Source organism: Homo sapiens, chromosome 6 (genome assembly GCF_000001405.40).
Source record: "Homo sapiens chromosome 6, GRCh38.p14 Primary Assembly".
Lineage (NCBI taxonomy): Eukaryota > Metazoa > Chordata > Mammalia > Primates > Hominidae > Homo > Homo sapiens.
In genome coordinates, this window is record NC_000006.12 from 136,719,094 (window position 1) to 136,737,161 (window position 18,068).

The 18,068-nt window shown below is 38.4% G+C and overlaps 1 protein-coding gene across 10 annotated transcripts in view, besides 1 other annotated feature; it reads right to left on the reverse strand.

Annotated features, from left to right (window-relative positions):
* Positions 1–18,068, reverse strand: part of MAP3K5 (mitogen-activated protein kinase kinase kinase 5) — a 236,046-nt gene that overhangs the window by 162,048 nt on the left and 55,930 nt on the right. For 8 of the 10 annotated variants that reach the window (XM_017010875.2, XM_047418784.1, NM_001438058.1 and 5 more), the window contains one exon: positions 1,357–1,496. The exons of the other annotated variants lie outside the window; for them this stretch is intronic. In XM_017010875.2, coding sequence (XP_016866364.1) covers positions 1,357–1,496 — 140 coding nt within the window. The remainder of the gene's footprint in view (positions 1–1,356; positions 1,497–18,068) is intronic. 10 annotated transcript variants of the gene reach the window in all.
* Positions 4,818–4,867: an enhancer, noted in NCBI's record as "active region_25116". NCBI's record gives its function as "activates an Ori minimal core promoter by ATAC-STARR-seq in GM12878 lymphoblastoid cells {active_cell/tissue: GM12878}" and the evidence as "EXISTENCE:reporter gene assay evidence [ECO:0000049][PMID:35858748]".

Below are 18,068 nucleotides of genomic sequence, written 5' to 3' on the forward strand. Positions count from 1 at the left end.
TGAACGCAGGAGGTCATGGCTGCAGTGAGCTGTGATCACGACACTGCATTCCAGCCTGGGTGAGAGAGCGAGATCCTGTCTAAATAAATAAATAAATACATACATACATAAACTTAACCCAAAGAAAAATGAAAAGAGCTAAATAAAATAATTCCTTCATCAAATGCTAATATGGGTTGCAAATAGCAGCAAATCAAAATGTCTAATTAAAAATGAGTTACAACATTTTATGATGTACTAATTAAAGGGGTAAATCTGGAGGAAAATTAAGGAGGGGCTTAAGGATTGCTCCAGGTAAAGGATTGCTCTAGGATAAAAAAACAGACTTAGGACAAGTAGGGGCAAATCTCTTAGAACTGTTTCAGAGTATTCTGGAAAGGGATATACCTGTCAATCACCAGCACAATGCCTGGCATGTAGTAGGTATGTTTGCTCAATGAAGTTCTGCAGATTTCTCAAAGAAAGCCACACATGCTTTAAATACTCAGAATGCAAAATACTACTGACTTTTTTGCATGAAATATGGGTTAGAGATACTCATATAACAATTGCTAAGTCATTAGTAATATGGTTAAGGATTCTAGAGCTCAATGTCCCAAGGTTGGCTCAGATTTGGGAACTGGAAGACAGAGCTGAGAAAAAGCCACATGAAGCTAGCTGGAAGTTTCACAAAGGAAATGGATGATGGCAAGCTCAGCATGCGATTCACTGAACTGTGGGATGCTTTTCAAAGAATCACACAGTGTAAAATCACTTGGCCTTGCAAAAAGCATTTTAGGCAAACTTCTTTGGATGGAGGAAATGCCTTTATAGCAGTAAGCTCCTATTACTGGAGAGAATGACATCGAGACAGGTTGAATTTTGTAGACAAACATAGTAAGTTTCTCCTCCTTTTCTCCCATCTTAGTTTAAATCATACCCTAGTGAAAGAGGAAGGCAACTATTTGGGTATACTCAGAATTTCTCAGAGCACTTTCAAGTAGGAAGTGTACTTTTAGTTGGGAGACTGGTGGGCACCATGAAGCTCCCAAAAGTGACAAAGCATGGAGGCTTGACCATACCTTATGCAATCTCCCTTCTCCACGTCGGCGCTAATGACTTCCTATTAACACAGTCTCCTCCGCTACAACCATGACTGAAACTCAGAACTCAGTGTGAACTTTTTTCCTACTCGTGTCATCAAATTTCTACAGTGAATTCTCGATAAACCTCCCAATTTGACAAGTAATTGATGCATACTAACCAAACATATAAAAGTCTTTCACAAATAAAAGCTACTTAAAATGTTTGGATGACAAACCGGTATCCCTGAAATGCTGATGTTAAAATGAAACATTCAGTAAACAAGGGAGGTACCTTCAGTGACTGCAGAGAGTCCGAGTTAGTATCACAGTAGAGGATGATGTTGTTGGCCATGCTGAAACTTTCTCTCACCCCAAGGTGGTAAAACAAGGACGGCTGCCGGAAGGCATCGCTCATCTCCACCACCGCAATATCTGCAAACAGAAAACAAAGTCCCCCAAAGAATGACACCCAAATAATGCCCAATCAGCACATTTTGGTTTGAATTATCTTAGTATTCAAAAGAGGAAATAAGGAAACGATAGGGATTTTCTCTCTTCATTTATCACTGAATTTTGAATTTGCAGCTCTACCTGGAAGTGGTTTTATAAAATGTAACAAACCTCCTTTTTCTGTTTTTAAGAGACAAGGTCTTGCTCTGTCACCCAGACTGGAGTACAGTGACATGATCATGGCTGACTGCAGCCTTGAACTCCTAGGCTCAAATGATCCTCCCACCTCAGTCTCCCTAGTAACTGGGACTACAGGCATGTGGCATCACGCCCAGCTAATTAAAAAATTTTTTTAGAGACAGGGTCTTCCTATGTTTCCCAGGTTGAACTCAAACTCCCGGCCTCAAATAATCCTCCTGCCTCGGCTTTCCAAAATGCTGGGATTACAGGTGTGAGCCACCATGCCTGGCCCAAACCTGCATTTTTTTTAAAGAAGAAGGAGATCATGTGATTACTGGAAACCGAGGAGAATTTGCAACGGTGGGAAGCAGGGGCTAATGCTCTCTCATAAATTTCAACATTAAAACACGTTAACTAAGGTTCCAAATAAGGAAATTAAAAAAAAAAAAACAGATTCATTAAAAAATAGCAGTAACATATATAAAACGAGATTTTTAAAAAATAAATAGGTAAGCTTATTAGTTAATCCAGAACTGGGTTTTAGAGTTAAATAACTGATATCTAGTAAGTCCCTGGTAAGTATAATCAAGAACAAAAGAGAGAAAAAAGGTATAGAAAATATAACAAAGGGGAATATAACCACAGATGCAAATCCATCCAAGGCTCAAAGATGACCAGTAACAAGGTAGTAGAAATTTGATATCAAAATTTGACAATGTCACAAAAACGAAATTTAGATTAGTCTAAAACTCCTTTATGGCTATAAACAAAAATATGAAAGAAAAACTAACAAAATGTACCAAGTGTTATAAGACCTAGATCGTGAGTTTAAAATTTATTTGCAGAATGCAAGGATAGCTCAATGGAAAAAACTCATCAGCATCTCGAACATGCTCCAAGTACATTAATTAAAATTCTCAATCCATTTCTCATTAAAAATAATTGCTGAGCTGGGCACAGTGGCACGCACCTGTAATCTCAGCTACTCAGGAGGCTGAGTTGAGAGTATCACCTGAGGCCAGGAGTTTGAGGCCAGCCTGGGCAACAGAGCAAGACCCCTAGCTCTAAGAAGAATAAAAATTTTAAATTAAAAAATAATAACTTCAAATTAAAAATATAAGGGCATTTCCTTAACATAGAGAATATATGTTTCATAACAACTTCCAACTTTGTGCATCTAGGTATTCCCATGAAAATCAGAAATAAAGGCTGTCATCTATTCCCACAACTTACTATATAATGGCTTTCTGAAAATCCCAGCCACTGCAATAAGATTTCTAGAAAGTAAGAAGATATAATTCTAGAAAATAAAATAGATAATTATCTCTATTTGCAGATGTTGTGGATGTCAACCAAATACCCCAACAGACTTAGCTGAATAGCTATTAGAAGTAATAATACAATTTAGTAAGGCATCAAGATGCAAAACTATTATGAAAACAAAGAGCTTCCTTTGCAATTGCAATAAACATTTAGGAAATATAAAACAGAAGCCATTCATAATTACAATGAAAATGTTAATATATAACAAATTTAAAAGAAGATAATTTCTTAAAAATATATGCAATATGTGAGAGATGAAAGGTTAATATCTTTATAAATCATCTCTTATGATCAATTTAAAATAACTCAGCAATGATAAAAACATTACATTAGACAATCATGCTATAGACATCAACAAGCAAATTCATGGAAATTTAAAATGGTAAATAAATATATGAGAAATTACTCTCCATCTTGCTTCTAATAAATGCACATTAAACCAACTATAAAATGCCAATTGTTTTGCCTAAGAAGTGGGCAAAGTAAAGGAGTCAATGAAAATGCAGAGAAATGACACTCTTTTATGCTGTGGGAAGTGTAAACTTTCTTTTCTTTTTTTTTTCCTTTTTTTTTTTTTTTTTTTAAGGCAGACAGTTCTCAGTTTGTTGCCCATACTAGAGTGCAGTGACAAAATCATAGCTCACTATATATGCACAGCCTCAAAATTCTGGGCTCAAGCGATCCTTCAGCCTCAGCCTCCTGAGTAGCTGGGACTACAGGCATGTGTCACCATGCCTGGCTAATTTTTTAAAATTTTTTGTAAACACAGGTATCACTATGCTGCACGGGCTGGTCTCAAACTCCTGACCTCAAGCAATCCTTCTGCCTCAGCCACCTAAAGTGCTGGGATTACAGGCATGAGCCACCACACCCCAGCCAAGTGTAAACTTTCTAGAAGGCTTAAATCCTAAAAATTATGTACACTCTGACCCAATAATTCCATTCCTTGGAATTTACTCTGAGAAAATTATTATAAATGTGAATAGATTTACCCGTCCATTGAAAAAATATTTTTTTACAATAAAATAATGGAAAATGTCTAAATACCTATCAGTAAGAAAATGTTTATATACGTGTGTATGTGTATATATGTAATAATGATATATATGTATATAATAATTTCAAATAATGGGATATCATGAAACCAAAGAAAAAGAAAAAAGTAGAATAAGACTTAGCAACAGGGGATAAATCCAAACTATATCAAGTAAAAATAAAAAGTAAAATATAATATACATACTGCCAGGTATAGCATATACATTAAAAATATAATGTATACATTATAATGAGTGCATTATGATGTTTACATTCATGTATATATCCATGTGCATAAAAAATACCTGAAAAGTTGTACACCAACTTTTGTTGGTAATAGCTGTGTTATAGGGATTATGAATTATTTTATTTTTCTATTTTATATCTTCTATATTTCCCACGATTTCTATTATGAACATTGATTACTTTCACAATTTAGGAATCTATCAAAATATAAAATGAACAACATTCAAGACCTGTGTGATGGAATATAAAACCAAAGTGCAGCACATAAAAATACTGCAGATGCTTGAGAAGCTGTTTGGTGCAAAGTCCACCTTGTCTAATGAGCATGAAATTAGCATTAAACTTTGGTGAATGAGAAATCAATCAGATGAAATGGAGGTAAAAGACACAGAAGTTTATGAAATGGGAAGACAGGTCAAAGGAGCTTCAGAAGTTTTTTTTCCCCCCTCAAGGCTAAAAATGACTTAAGGGCTCTTTAATACAAATAAAGAGTTTTCTTTTGGGGTCCTCAACATTTCTGCATCAAAAATCAACACATGACAAAAGTGAGTCATTGCATCCTACCCACACAGCCCAGCTGCCTCCTGCACCCACACAGCTTCCTCCTCCCACAGGTGCCAGCCACTCAGCAGTCAATCACATTGCTTTAAAATCAAGAAGCTGTGTAACGTGGGGCTGGAAGAAACCAAATAAAACACTTACTGATGAAAAATAAGAGACATGCAAAGAAAAATACTAGCTAAGTTAAAGTAATGAAAGGAGGGGATAAATTTTTCCAGAGAACTGACATGTGGAATTAGATGCTAAAATAAAATAAAAACACTGCAGAAAGTTTTCGGATTAAGAGAGAAACTGACTTTTTTTTTTTTTTTTTTGAGATGGAGTCTTACTCTGTCTCCCAGGCTGGAGTGCAGGGGCACAACCTCAGCTCACTGCAACCTCCACCACCCGGGTTCAAGTGTTTCTCCTACCTCAGCCTCCCAAGTAGCTGGGATTACAGGGTGCACCACCACATCCAGCTAATTTTTGTATTTTTAGTAGAGATGGGGTTTCGCCATGTTGGCCAGGCTGGTCTTGAACTCCTGGCCTCAGGTAATCTGCCCACCTCAGCCTCCCAAAGTGCTGGGATAACAAGCATGAGCCACTGTGCCCAGCCTAGACATTTAAAATAAATGGTGCAAGCAAAGTAAGGTATATTTATTACCTCTAAACATCTAAACAGGAACAGATCCATTTCTGGATGCTATAAAGAACACTGAAAGGTGCTTATTGGTATAATTTTAAAATACAGTAATACAGTATGGTAACTCAGAAAAAGGTTGGCTTTTTTCTATTTCAAATTCAAATAAGTGACTTGTTCTAAGACATTTCTATTCTTTCCTAAATTTACTTTTTAATTGTCATAGAGCAAAATTCATTCTCTTTGTCTCTGATGTACAGTCTAATGGGCTTTGAAAAATGCGTACATACCACCATAGTCATGATACAAAATAGATCCTTCACTCCAAAAATCTCCCTCATGCTGCCCTTTTGAGGTTAGTCTTCCCCACACCCCAAATCCCAGTCCCTGGCAACCACTGATTTATTTACTGTCCCTAAAGTTTTACCTTTCCCAGAATGTCATATAAATGGAATCATACAGTATGTAGCCTTTTGGGTTTGGCTTCTTTGACTTAGCAAAATGCATGTGAGATTCATCCATAGATGTCCATTCACAGGTTTGAGGACATTCAGGTTGTCTCCAGGTTGAGCAATTTTGAATAAAGTTGCTATTCATGTACAAGTCTTTATATAGACACATGCTTTCATTTGTCTTGAGTAAAGACCTAGGAGTAGGATTACTGGGTCATAGGTAAGGGTATGTTTACCTTAATAAGAAAATGCCAAGCTCTCCCAAAGTGACTCAAACATTTTGCATTCCCGCCAGCAAAGTATGAGGAGCATCTCAGCTGTCCAACATCTTTGTCAGCGCTTGGTATTGTCCGTTTTTCTTCTAAAGCCAGTCTAATAGGTATGTAGTGGTACTTCGTTATGGTTTTAATTTGTATTTCCCTAATGACTAATGAGGTTGAGCATCTTTTCATGTGCTTATTTGCTATCTGTATATCTTATTTGGTTAAGTACTCAATGCTTTTGCCCATTTAAAAATTATTGTTGAGTTTGTTTTCTTATTGTTGAGGTTTGAATGTTCTTTATATTTTCTGAATATTGTTCCTCTGTCAGATATGCAATTTGCAGATACTGTCAGATAATGACTTGTCTTTTCATTCTCTTAAGTGTGTCTTTACAAGAGAATTTAAATTTAATTAAGTCCAGTTCATCAACTTTTTATTTAATGGATTGTGCTTCAGGTGTGGTATTGAAAAAAATCTTTGCGTAACCCAAGGTCACAAAAGTTTTCTTTTATGGTTTCTTCTAGAAGTTTTATAGCTTTATGTTAAATTTAAGTCTATGAACCATTTAGAGTTGATTTTTGTATATGGTGTGAGGCATGGGTCAAGATTCATATTTGCTGTAAAGACTGTCCTTTCTCCATTGAATTGCCTCTGCATTTTCATCAAACATTAACTGGCTACACTTTGGTGGGTTTTCTTCTGGATTCTCTGTTTTATTTCATTAATCTATGTGTTTATCTTTTGTCAACACAACAATTGTTTGGACTGCTGCAGCTTTAAGGTAGCTACTAAAATCAGGTAGGTCAACTCTATTCTGGTTTTCAACTCTATTCTGTTTTCAAATTTGTTTTGGCTGTTTTAGTTGTTCTCTTTGCTTTCCTACGTAAATTTGAGAATCAGCTGGCTGTTGATATCTATCAATTGATAGCTACCAAAAAATCCTGGGATTTTGATTGGAATTGTGTTGCATCTAAAAAATCACTTTAGAAAGAACTGACATCTTAACAATATTGAGTCTTTCAATCCATGAATATAGAATATCTCACCTGTAATCTCAACACTTTGGGAGGCCAAAGCAGGTGGCTCACTTGAGGCCAGGAGTTTGAGACCAGCCTGGCCAACATGGTGAAACCCTGTCTCTACTAAAAATACAAAAATTAGCCAGGTACGGTGGCACATGCCTATAATCCCAGCTACTTGGGAGGCTGAGGCACAAGCATCACTTGAACCTTGGAGGCAGAGGCTGCAGTGAGCCAAGATCACATGACTGCACTCCAGCCTGGGTGACAGAGCAAGACTCTGCCTCAAAAAAAAAAAGAATACGGAATATCTCTCCACTTACTTAGGCCGTCGTTTTTTAATTAGTATTTCATAATTTTCAACATGTAGATCCTGCACATAGTTTGTTAAATTTATACCTAAATGTTTTCTCTTTTTGGTGCTACTATAGATAGTACTGTTTTTAAAAATTTCAAATCACAATTGCTCATTGCTAGCATATAAAAATACAATAATTTTTGTAGATTGATCTTGTATCCTGAAATTTAACTGAACTCAGTTATAACTTCTAGAAGCTTTTTTCATATATATTATTTTATATGTATTATTTTACATGGACAGTCACGTAATCTGCAACTAGAAGGGATTTTGTTTTTTCCCTTCCGATTTGTATGCCTTTTGTTTTTTGTTTGTTTTTGCCTTGTTATACTCGCTAGGACTTCCAGTAACACAGCACTGTTTAAACAGTAATATTTCATTACCTAACTAAAGAAAACATTATCTGTGGCTACTTTCTGACTCTGCTGGGTACCTTCTCAAAAGTAGTAAAATAAACAGGTGAAAATTATCTTCCTTGTGAAATGATCCTAAGACATATTAAAAATACAAATTAAGATGTAATTATAATAAATTAAACAAACACTTGATACTCAAGAATTCCTGAGCCCCATTTATAGGAGGAACAGTTTATCCATTTCATTTTATAAACATATATTCAGTACTTACTATGTGTCAGACAGTATATGCTTTTCAAATATTAACTCAATCTTCCTAATACCCCTTTGTGATTGGTAGTATTATTTCAGGACACTGAAGCAGAGAATGTATCTGCCAAAGATCAGCTAGAAAGTGTTGCCACCAGAATTCAAACCCAAGCAATCCAGCTCTAGAGTCCAAGCTCTTTTAACTCTTCACTGACTCACTTCCTAAACTTACAGGAGACAGAAATTCACAAGTTCAGAACACAAGTGAGATGTGAAAATAGATTTGGGGATCAAATCATACCAGTCTTATTGTATATTTCATGAGTAAATGCACTTAATAATTATCTAATTGAGTTGTTGTAATAATACTGTGAGTAAAACTGCCACATTTAGAAATTTAAGAAAGTTAGGGCCAGGCGCAGTGGCTCACACCTGTAATCCCAGCACTTTGGGAGGCCAAGGCGGGCGGACCACAAGGTCAGGAGATCGAGACCATCCTGGCTAACACGGTGAAACCCCGTCTCTACTAAAAATACAAAAAAAATTAGCCGGGCGTGGTGGCAGGTGCCTGTAGTCCCAGCTACTCGGGAGGCTGAGGCAGGAGAATGGGGTGAACCCAGGAGGCGCAGCTTGCAGTGAGCAGAGATAGCACCATTGCACTCCAGCCTGGGCGACAGAGCGAGACTCCGCCTCAAAGAAAAAAAAAAAAAAGAAATTTAAGAAAGTTAGTCATTTAAAAGTATAGACAAAGACACAAAAATCTCCTACATTTTTACCTAAGGTATAATTTGTTTCCTTGTTCTGACTGAGTTAATGTTAAGTGGAGGATAACACAAGGTTTATCAGGGGTTTGTTAAAGCATAATAAAATTTTTAGGGTAATAACATTAAGCTATTAAGCTTAATTGCATTTTGGTCATCGAATGGCAGTGGCTGGTAGTCTGTGGGGTTTTTAAATTGAATTTTCCCTTCATAATAAGGTATCTGTTAGTTAAATATCTCACATGAGTTGCTGCTGCTTGTGAAGAGAAGAGTTGAGGGAAGATGTTAATTGGTATTTTCTGAAATTTGACCTAAAAGTCATGTCCTGTTAGAGTCTCCTAAAGACTCCAAGTCAGTTTTCTAAAGTTTGGCAAGTAGATAACATCGGGAAACTGCAAAAGTCCTGTTATACAGCTAGGAATGTTGAAATTTTCAAGAAGGACATAAGAATCATCTATCATCAAGGTCTTGAACTGGTCACAGTTGGGCAATCCCTACTATAAATGACTACTCTTTTAGCTTCATCAGCCTCCCTTTAATTTCTTGTGTGTTATTTGGTTAATTATACCATGTAAAATGATGCAAATATATATCAACAGTATATTCTGGTCCATGATTTCCTCATCACTAAACTCTAATAAATGTATGCATGGTGATTCAAACATAAATCATTCTCATATTGCCAAAGCAAATTATTCCTAACCTCCCCAACCCAGCCCTAATTTTCTTATTTGGTGACATTGTATTACACTCAAGTGTTTTGCTGGCTTTCTGTTGTTGTTGTTAATCTGCTAAGTGAGGGCTGGTAGGGAGGTAATCAGAGGGATATTTTGCACTTCCAGAGGTTGGCCTTAAAAAGAGTTGAGAGCCACTACACTTACAAAAGGAAAGGGAAGAGAGGAAAAGGGAGAAACCTAGTGTGGAGGGAGGGACAGAACAGAAAAAAAGGGAGAGGAAGGAGGAGTGAAACAGAGACAGAGGAGGGTGCAAAACTAAGATGGGTGTTATAATAACTAAAGACCCCTTACCCAGGCAATAGCTGCAAGAGCTCAGCTTTAGAGAATGTGAAGGCAGAGAAAGCACACATCCTTCGGAGGTGACCAGACCAGAAGGTCAGGACCTAGAGCCACAGCTCAATGCCAGGAGGACACACAGCCTCAGTAAAGCACTCTACAGAGCTGAAGAGCTGGAAAGGAAACACTCTCATCTCCAGAAGAGTAATGAGCATGTAAATAACAGACAAGCTGTTCTTTGACTTCCAGTGTTTGAATCCCAGTTGTGTTTCTGGATGGATGACGTCAGACAATACCTCGAACTCTCTGAGCTGTGGTTTCTTCAACTATAAATTGGGAATAACAACCTAGGTATTTACTGCACAAAACTGCTATAAGGATTACATGTGTGCTAGGCACAGTAAACTCACCATGAATGGTAATCACATAGAGCCGGGACAAGAAATGCCCAGAGGAGACCCTTTGAGCAATGTATCATTAAAATGTGATCGAAGACAATGCTATTATACAACTCAACACCTCCTGATAAAGCTTTGAGTAATTTCTCATAGAAATGATATTGAAGGCAAACTTATGAAAACATAGAAAGCCAACATAAAGAATTTTGACTTGATCCTATAATCAATGGATGGATCCATCCATGTCCATGAGGTTTGAGAAGAGGTATGTCAGGATCTAAGCTTCGCTTTGGAAAGATAAAGCTAGAATCTGTAGATGGATGATAGACTACACAGACCGGGGGCTGGGAGATTGTGTGGGAGTCATCCGAGAGAGCGTGTCCCTCAACTAACACAGACAACATGTGGGGAAACTCAACAGGATTCAGGGACTTGGTGGCTACAGGCAAAGAAAGAATTAAAGACGTTTCTGCTTTGAACGTCATAATTAAGGATAATGATTTGCCATTAACATAGTAAAGGACACAAGGGAGGTTTTGTGGTATTTTCTGAGACAGGGTCTCACTCTGTCTTCCAGGCTGGAGTGCAGTGATGCAATCACGGCTCACTGCAGCCTCCAACTACTGGGCTGAAGCAATCCTCCTACCTCAGCCTCCTGAGTAACTGAGACCACAAGTACACGCCACCATACCTGTTTTTTTGTTGTTTGGTTGTTTTTTTTTTTTTGTTTTTTGTTTTTGTAGAAACAAGGTCTCACTATGTCGACCAAGCTGGTCTCAAACTCCTGGGCTCAAGTGAGCCACCCGCCTAGGCCTCCCAAGTGCTGGGATAACAGGTGTGAGCCACCACAACTGGCCAAACTTTTTTTTTTTTTGATAGGAGCTTGAGTTCATATTGGAACACACTAAATTGGGGAGTGGGAGTGAATATATTACTGATAGCAGTCCTTTTGAACCTCAGCAGAGAGATAAAAAACAGAAAGATCTAAGAATAACAGCAGGCTGGGCACGGTGACTCACGCCTGTAATCCCAGCACTCTGGCAGGCAGAGGCGGGTAGATCACGAGGTCAGGAGATCGAGACCATCCTGGCTAACACAGTAAAACCCCGTCTCCACTAAAAACACAAAAAAATTAGCCAGGCGTGGTGGCAGATGCCTGTAGTCCCAGCTACTCAGGAGGCTGAGGCAGGAGAATGGCGTGAACCCAGGAGGCAGAGCTTGCAGTGAGCCAAGATGGCGCCACTGTACTCCAGCCTGGGAGATAGAGTGAAACTCTGCCTCAAAAAAAAAAAAAAAAAAAAAAGAGTCACAGCAATGGGTGACCACTGAAACAGTGAATGTAGATGAGGTTGTCAACTTAGAGTACAGAAAGAAATGAGGCTTCCTGGACTCAGGAATTCCCCTCCTCATTATATACCCAATAGAAACACAGATATGTGCTCATGTAATGAATGTTCATAGCCATACTATTTGTAAACCATTAACAGCAGAAGAAATTAAAAAGCATGCTATGTAGAAACAATGGATACTATACAGTAATGAGCATGAAAAATCTACAACCACACGTGACAACATGGATGAATCTCACAAATGCATTCTTGGGAGGAGGAATCCAGATACAAAGGACTAGGCACCGTGTGATTCTGCAATATTAAAAGTCACAATGGCGCACGCCTTGGAGAGGATGGGCCATGGCTAAAGGGGGCTTGAAGGGGTCTTCTGGGGTGCTGGTAAAGTTCTACTTCTTGATCTAGGTGCTGGTTACTCTGGCATGTTTGCCTTGTGAAAATTAACTCATTTCTAACCGATCATTTTGCCCAGAATGTTAAAAGAGAATTGCATTAGTTTCCTGTGCCATTGTAACTAATTATTACAAGCTTGATGCCTTAAAACAGCAGAAATGTCTTCTTTCACAGTTCTAGAGGCCAGAAGTCCAAAATCAAGGTGTAGGCAGTGCTCTAGAAGATAATCAGTTCCTTGCCCCTTCAAGATTCTAAGTTTTCGGCACTCCTTGGCTTGTGATGTGTATGCATGTGGTGTCAAATCGCCCTCTGCCTCTTTTACAAGGACACTTGTGATGGCATTTAGGACACACCCAGATGATCCAGGATTATCTTATCTCAAGATCCTTCACTTCATCATATCTGCAAAGACTCGTTTTCCAAATAAGGTACCATGCACATGTTCCAGTTCTGACATAGATATTAGGGTGGCAGGGGAGGTGAGGGACAAATTTTAGCTTACCACAAGGATTATAAAGAAGCTGCATGATAACGAAGGTAAGTACAACAGAACAAAAGGTGCTGAATACAAGATGAGGAAATGGAGGGAATGAGCCCAAAGGATTCTCCAAAGACTGGCAAAGAACAAAAGGTGATAAACGTTTTCCAAGGTCCATGGTAGGCACCTTTACAATCAGTAAGGAAAGCAAGAGATCAGACAATACTTTAATGGGACAGAAAGATCTAAAAGCTTTTAGTGTTAGAATGGTGTACTTGAACATTATTAGAACAAGTGGAGATTGTACGCATTTTTGAAGTCAAGCTGAAAGAAGAAAAAAAGAGAAAGATTTTAAAGGGAGTGCTAATTAATGGAGGCGATCTCTGTATTTTCAGATGAGACAGATGGGTTGGGTTCTATGACAGAGGAGAAAAGTCAACCATGGGGGAAAAGGGATACTTTAAAGGTAAGAAGGAGAGAAGTACCAGGCGCAGTGGCTCACGTCTGTAATCCCAGCACTTTGGGAGGCTGAGGCAGGCAAATCACTCGAGGTCAGGAGTTCGAGACCAGCCTGACCAACATGGTGAAATACCGTCTCTACCAAAAATACAAAAACTAGCCAGGCACAGTGGCGGGCGCTTGTAGTCCCAGCCACTAGGGAGGCTGAGGCTGAAGAATCACTTGAACCCGGGAAGTGGAAGTTGCAGTGAGCTGAGATCATAGCACTCCACTCCAGCCTGGGTGACAGAGCGAGGCTCCGTCTCAAACAAAACAAAACAAACAAACAAACAAAAAGAAAACAAGGAGGGAAGTAATTAATGGCAAAGACAAGGAAGTGATGAGGTGAAAGGAAGAACACCGATCTCCTCCTTCACTTCAGGTAGTGACTTGCTGATAGACAGCTGGTAGCCAACAGAAAGGAAAGCCCTCTCCAGGGACAGCTGAAACACGCCTGAGTGACATCACTGGAAATGTGCCTGAAAGTAGCACCACCTGAGCTTCTGCATGTCGTGACGCCAATTTGTCTTCTTTTTCACTAAAAGGAATTCATTTTAGCATTCCTTTTACTTGTGATAGTAACAACGCTTACAACTACAGCAACAGAAGCAAGATGTAAGCCTCCTAAGCATCAAAAACACCATTTTTTGAACTCTTATCTGCCTACAATAGAGGTAAAGGAAAATATGAAAAGAGGGAAGATCTAGACTAGATTTGAACTTTATTCTGCTTAGTGGCCACAGGCAAAAGCCTTAAATAGACATTAAAATCCCAATCTTACAAATGAATGTTCTTGGTCACAAAATGGACTGGACTAACAAAAAATCCACTTTCAAGCACATAGTACTTTTTCTTTTTTGAGACAGGGTCTTGCTCTGTTACCCAGGCTGAAGTACAGTGGCATAATCACGGCTCACTGCATCCTCGACCTCCTGGGCTCAAGCGATCCTCCCACCTCAGTTCTCAAGTACCTAGGACTATAGGCATGCACCACTATGCCCAGCTAATTCTATTTATTTTTTGTAGATACAGTGTCTCACTATGTTTCAGGCTGGTCTTGAACTCCTGGTCTCAACCAGTCCTCCTTTCTTGGCCTCCTAAAGTACTGGGATTACAGGCATAAGCCACCACGTCCAGCTTCAAGCACACAGCATTCGATGATGGTTTAGTAAGTGCTATTGAGGGAGCCCTGCAAATACTGTCACTGGGTTGTCTTCAAGTGAATCCCTCATATCACTTCACAAAAAAAGTGGGTAAATCACAGTTTATATCTTCTGGTGCATACCAAGTACTTTATGAAGAGATATTTTCCTGATATGAGCATAGCAGTCTCCTACATAATTTTGCTTATTAGAAAAGTACAAATAGGTCCTACCCAAAAAAGTGTTATTCTCCTTCCAAGTTAAAACAGAGCCTGATTTATGCCTTAACTTTTTTTTGTCTTTAAGTTAAAAAACAAAAAACAAACAAAAAAAACCTTTTTTTTTAGAGCTGTTTTAGGTTCATGGCAAAATTGAGAGGAAGGTACAAAGACATCCCATATACCTGATGCCCTCACACACACACAGCCTCCCCCATTGTCAACATCCCCCACCAGAGTGGTACATTTTTTACAACTGATGAGCCTACATTGACACATCATAGTCACACAAAGTCCATAGTTTACATTAGGGTTCACTCTTGATGCTGTACATTCTTTGGGTTTAGATAAATTTATCATGATATGTATCTACCACTAAAGTATCATAATTATAGGATCATACAGAGTATGAGACCATAACACCCTAAAAATCCTCTGCCCTAAAAATCCTCCAGACTTTGCCTATCCATTCAAAAATTTATGTTTTAATGTCATGGTAACAGCAATACAACAGGTCAATGACCTATAAAGAGTATATAAGAAATGTATAAGTCAAAATGAACCGTAAAGTTTATTATGTGACAGGGACATGCTATACATTATAAATAGAAATGGGGGCTGGGTGCGGTAGCTCACCTCACCGTAATCCCAGCACTCTGGGAGGCTGAGGCAGGTGGATTACCTGAGGTCAGGAGTTCGAGACCAGCCTGGCCAAAATGGTGAAACCCTGTCTCTACTAACAATACAAAAAATTAGCCAGGTGCAGTGACACACACCTGTAATCCCAGCTACTTGGGAGACTGAGGCAGGAAAATTGCTTGAACACGAGAGACGGAGGTTACAGTGAGCAGAGATCATGGCACTGCACTCCAGCCTAGCCAACAAAGCGAGACTCTGTCTCGGAAAAAAAAAAAAAAAAAAAAAAAGGCAATGGGATAGGAGGCTAGTTTGTTGGTAAAAATTTCTGTATCGCCACGGCAAACTATTTTTCTCCTTGAAATGGTTATATTTCATGAAGGTGTGCTGGGTTTGAGTCTATATGCATAAATTTAGATCTCTATAAACTCATTTTGTATAAAACATTTCAGTCCTTAAGTAATAAATCTATTTTAATTAGATACTGAAAAGGCTGCTCATGAATATATGAACAGGCTTTTGTGAAGCTTATTACAGTTTTATTGTGGTTAAGGTCTATGTCATTTGTTTTTTTGGTCTCTCATATTTAGTTTTAATTAAACCATCAAAGCTTCATTCATTTATGCTTCAGTGAAGTTCCTCGGTCACACAGAGTAGCCCTTTGTAACTGTAAGATTCTTATGGGAGCATCCTCCCTCACAACCCAAACCAATAATCTGCCTCATTTAATTGGCACTTGTTTAAGTTACATAAGGTTATAGGAGTTGATTTGTGATAATTTTTGAAGAAAATCCAACTGTTCCTCACAGATGTGGATGCTGAGTGACATACTCTTACCTAATCGTCCTATACCTCTACAACCTCTTCACATGGAAAACAGAAAGAGGACAGGGAGAACTTCACATTCTCTGATGATGTTCAGTAGCAAAAATGGCTATGGTAGTTTAACTCATGCTTGAGGTTGTTCTGATTAAGAGGAGGTATTTCTCACTCTGGCTAGGGAAATAACTGTCATTTATATGAATTATGTTTACATAAGCATTAATAGTTATTAAAGCAGTGTAACATGGTGATACAGAAAAACTTAGACTCTAGAAAATTCTACAGGAAAAATGACCTGAATTCCTTAACAAAAACATCACAGGGGAGAAGAGGAGATGAAAGTAGAAATTAGATATTAAAAGAGACTTAAGGAACATAGTCAACTGTAATGTGTGGACCTTGGTTGGATTCTACAAAAGTAAACTTTAAAAAATCATGGCATTTATGAGATAATCAAAATTTTGAAAACTGACAGGATATTTGATGATATCAAGAAATGAATTATTTTAAGTATGATAAGGTACTGTGTTAGGAGTCCTTATCTTTCAGAGAAGAAAAATGTAGCATGATAGGCCGGGTGAGGTGGCTCAAGCCTGTAATTCCCAGCACTTTGCGAGGCTGAGGCAGAGGATCGCTTGAGTTCGGGAGTTTGAGACCAGCCTGAGCAACAAAGTCAGACCCCATCTCTATAAAAAGTGTTAAAAATAGCTGGGTGTGGTGGTGCGTGCCTGCAGTCCCAGCTACTAAGGAGCTGAGGCAGGAGGATGGCTTGGGCCCGGGAGTTCAAGGTTACAGTGAGCTATGATCGTGCCATTGTACTCCAATCCGGGTGACAGAGCACGAACCTATCTCTAAAAAAACAAACAAAAAAAGCATGATAATTTCATCCTATGTTAAAAAATAAAGAATGCTAATGTCTGGCACCACATGATGTATGCATTCCTTATCAAAAAAGCATTATCTTGCATGCCATAGAAATATAATTGTAAGTAAGAAACACTATACCATTATTGCTGTAGAAAGAAAATCAGTATTTTTTTTTCTTTCTACTCCTGTAGAAACTAAATTAAATGAAATCCAGTTGCATACTATTTATGGGCAGAAATCGTTGCTCATCCTGGTAAGCAAGCTAGTTTGGAGGGTTTTCCTCTTGTAATTATGGCTGTCATTTCTCGTGGTCTTAAATCCAGTTGGATCTAAGAAGTGTGGGTGAGCGCCTGGGAGCTCCACAGTGCTCCAAGATTCTTAATGTGTCAACGAATGGAAACCTCTCACAGTCAGGATTCAACATCTCTAAAAGAGGCCATACCCTTTCTTTCTACTCTGTTAAGCTCACTTTCGACACCTAATAATTTCATCTAGTCAAAATGTGCAATAGTTTTTGTTCAAATTTACTTCTTCTAATAGTATCTGTAATTCTGTTGACATGACAGATGTATAAATGATTCTGCCAGTAAATAATTTCATTCCTAGCGTACGTGTTGACATTCCATTTAAGTCCAACAATCCATTTAAGGGGGTTTGAGACTTCTTTCTTGAGAATTATTAGAGGAAATGAATAAGATTAAAACTATTCATTGTTAACTGATCTTTTAACTGCTGACAGACAGGTGGCTGGACTTCACTGACTATAATGAAAGAGTCTGGTTCTTTTTTCTTTCTTTCTTCCAATTGATTAAATCTATCAGTAAAGGAATTCGCATACTCTAGGAAAACTAATGTTGTTGTTTTAGAGACAGAGTCTCACTCTGTCACTCAGGCTGGAGTGCAATGGTATGGTCATAGCTCACTGGGCTCAACTGATCCTCCCACCTCAGCCTCCCAAGTAGCTGAGACTACAGGCATGCAGCACCACTCCTGGTTAATGTTTTACATATTTTTTCTAGAGACAGTGTCTTGCTAATTGGCCCAGGCTGGTCTCAAACCCCTGGACTCAAGTGATCCTCCCACCTCAGCCTCCCAAAGTGTTGGGATTACAGGTACGGATATGAGCCACTGTGTACAGCCATGTTGTTATTTTTTTAATGTGACAAATTAATTTTACATATATATATGTGTGTGTATATATATATATATATATAAACTTAGATGTGATTATATAAATGTCTCTTTAAAAGAAGGCTATCGACGGAGGCCAATATCCTAAGCAAATTACTGCAAGTACAGAAAACCAAATTCTGCATGT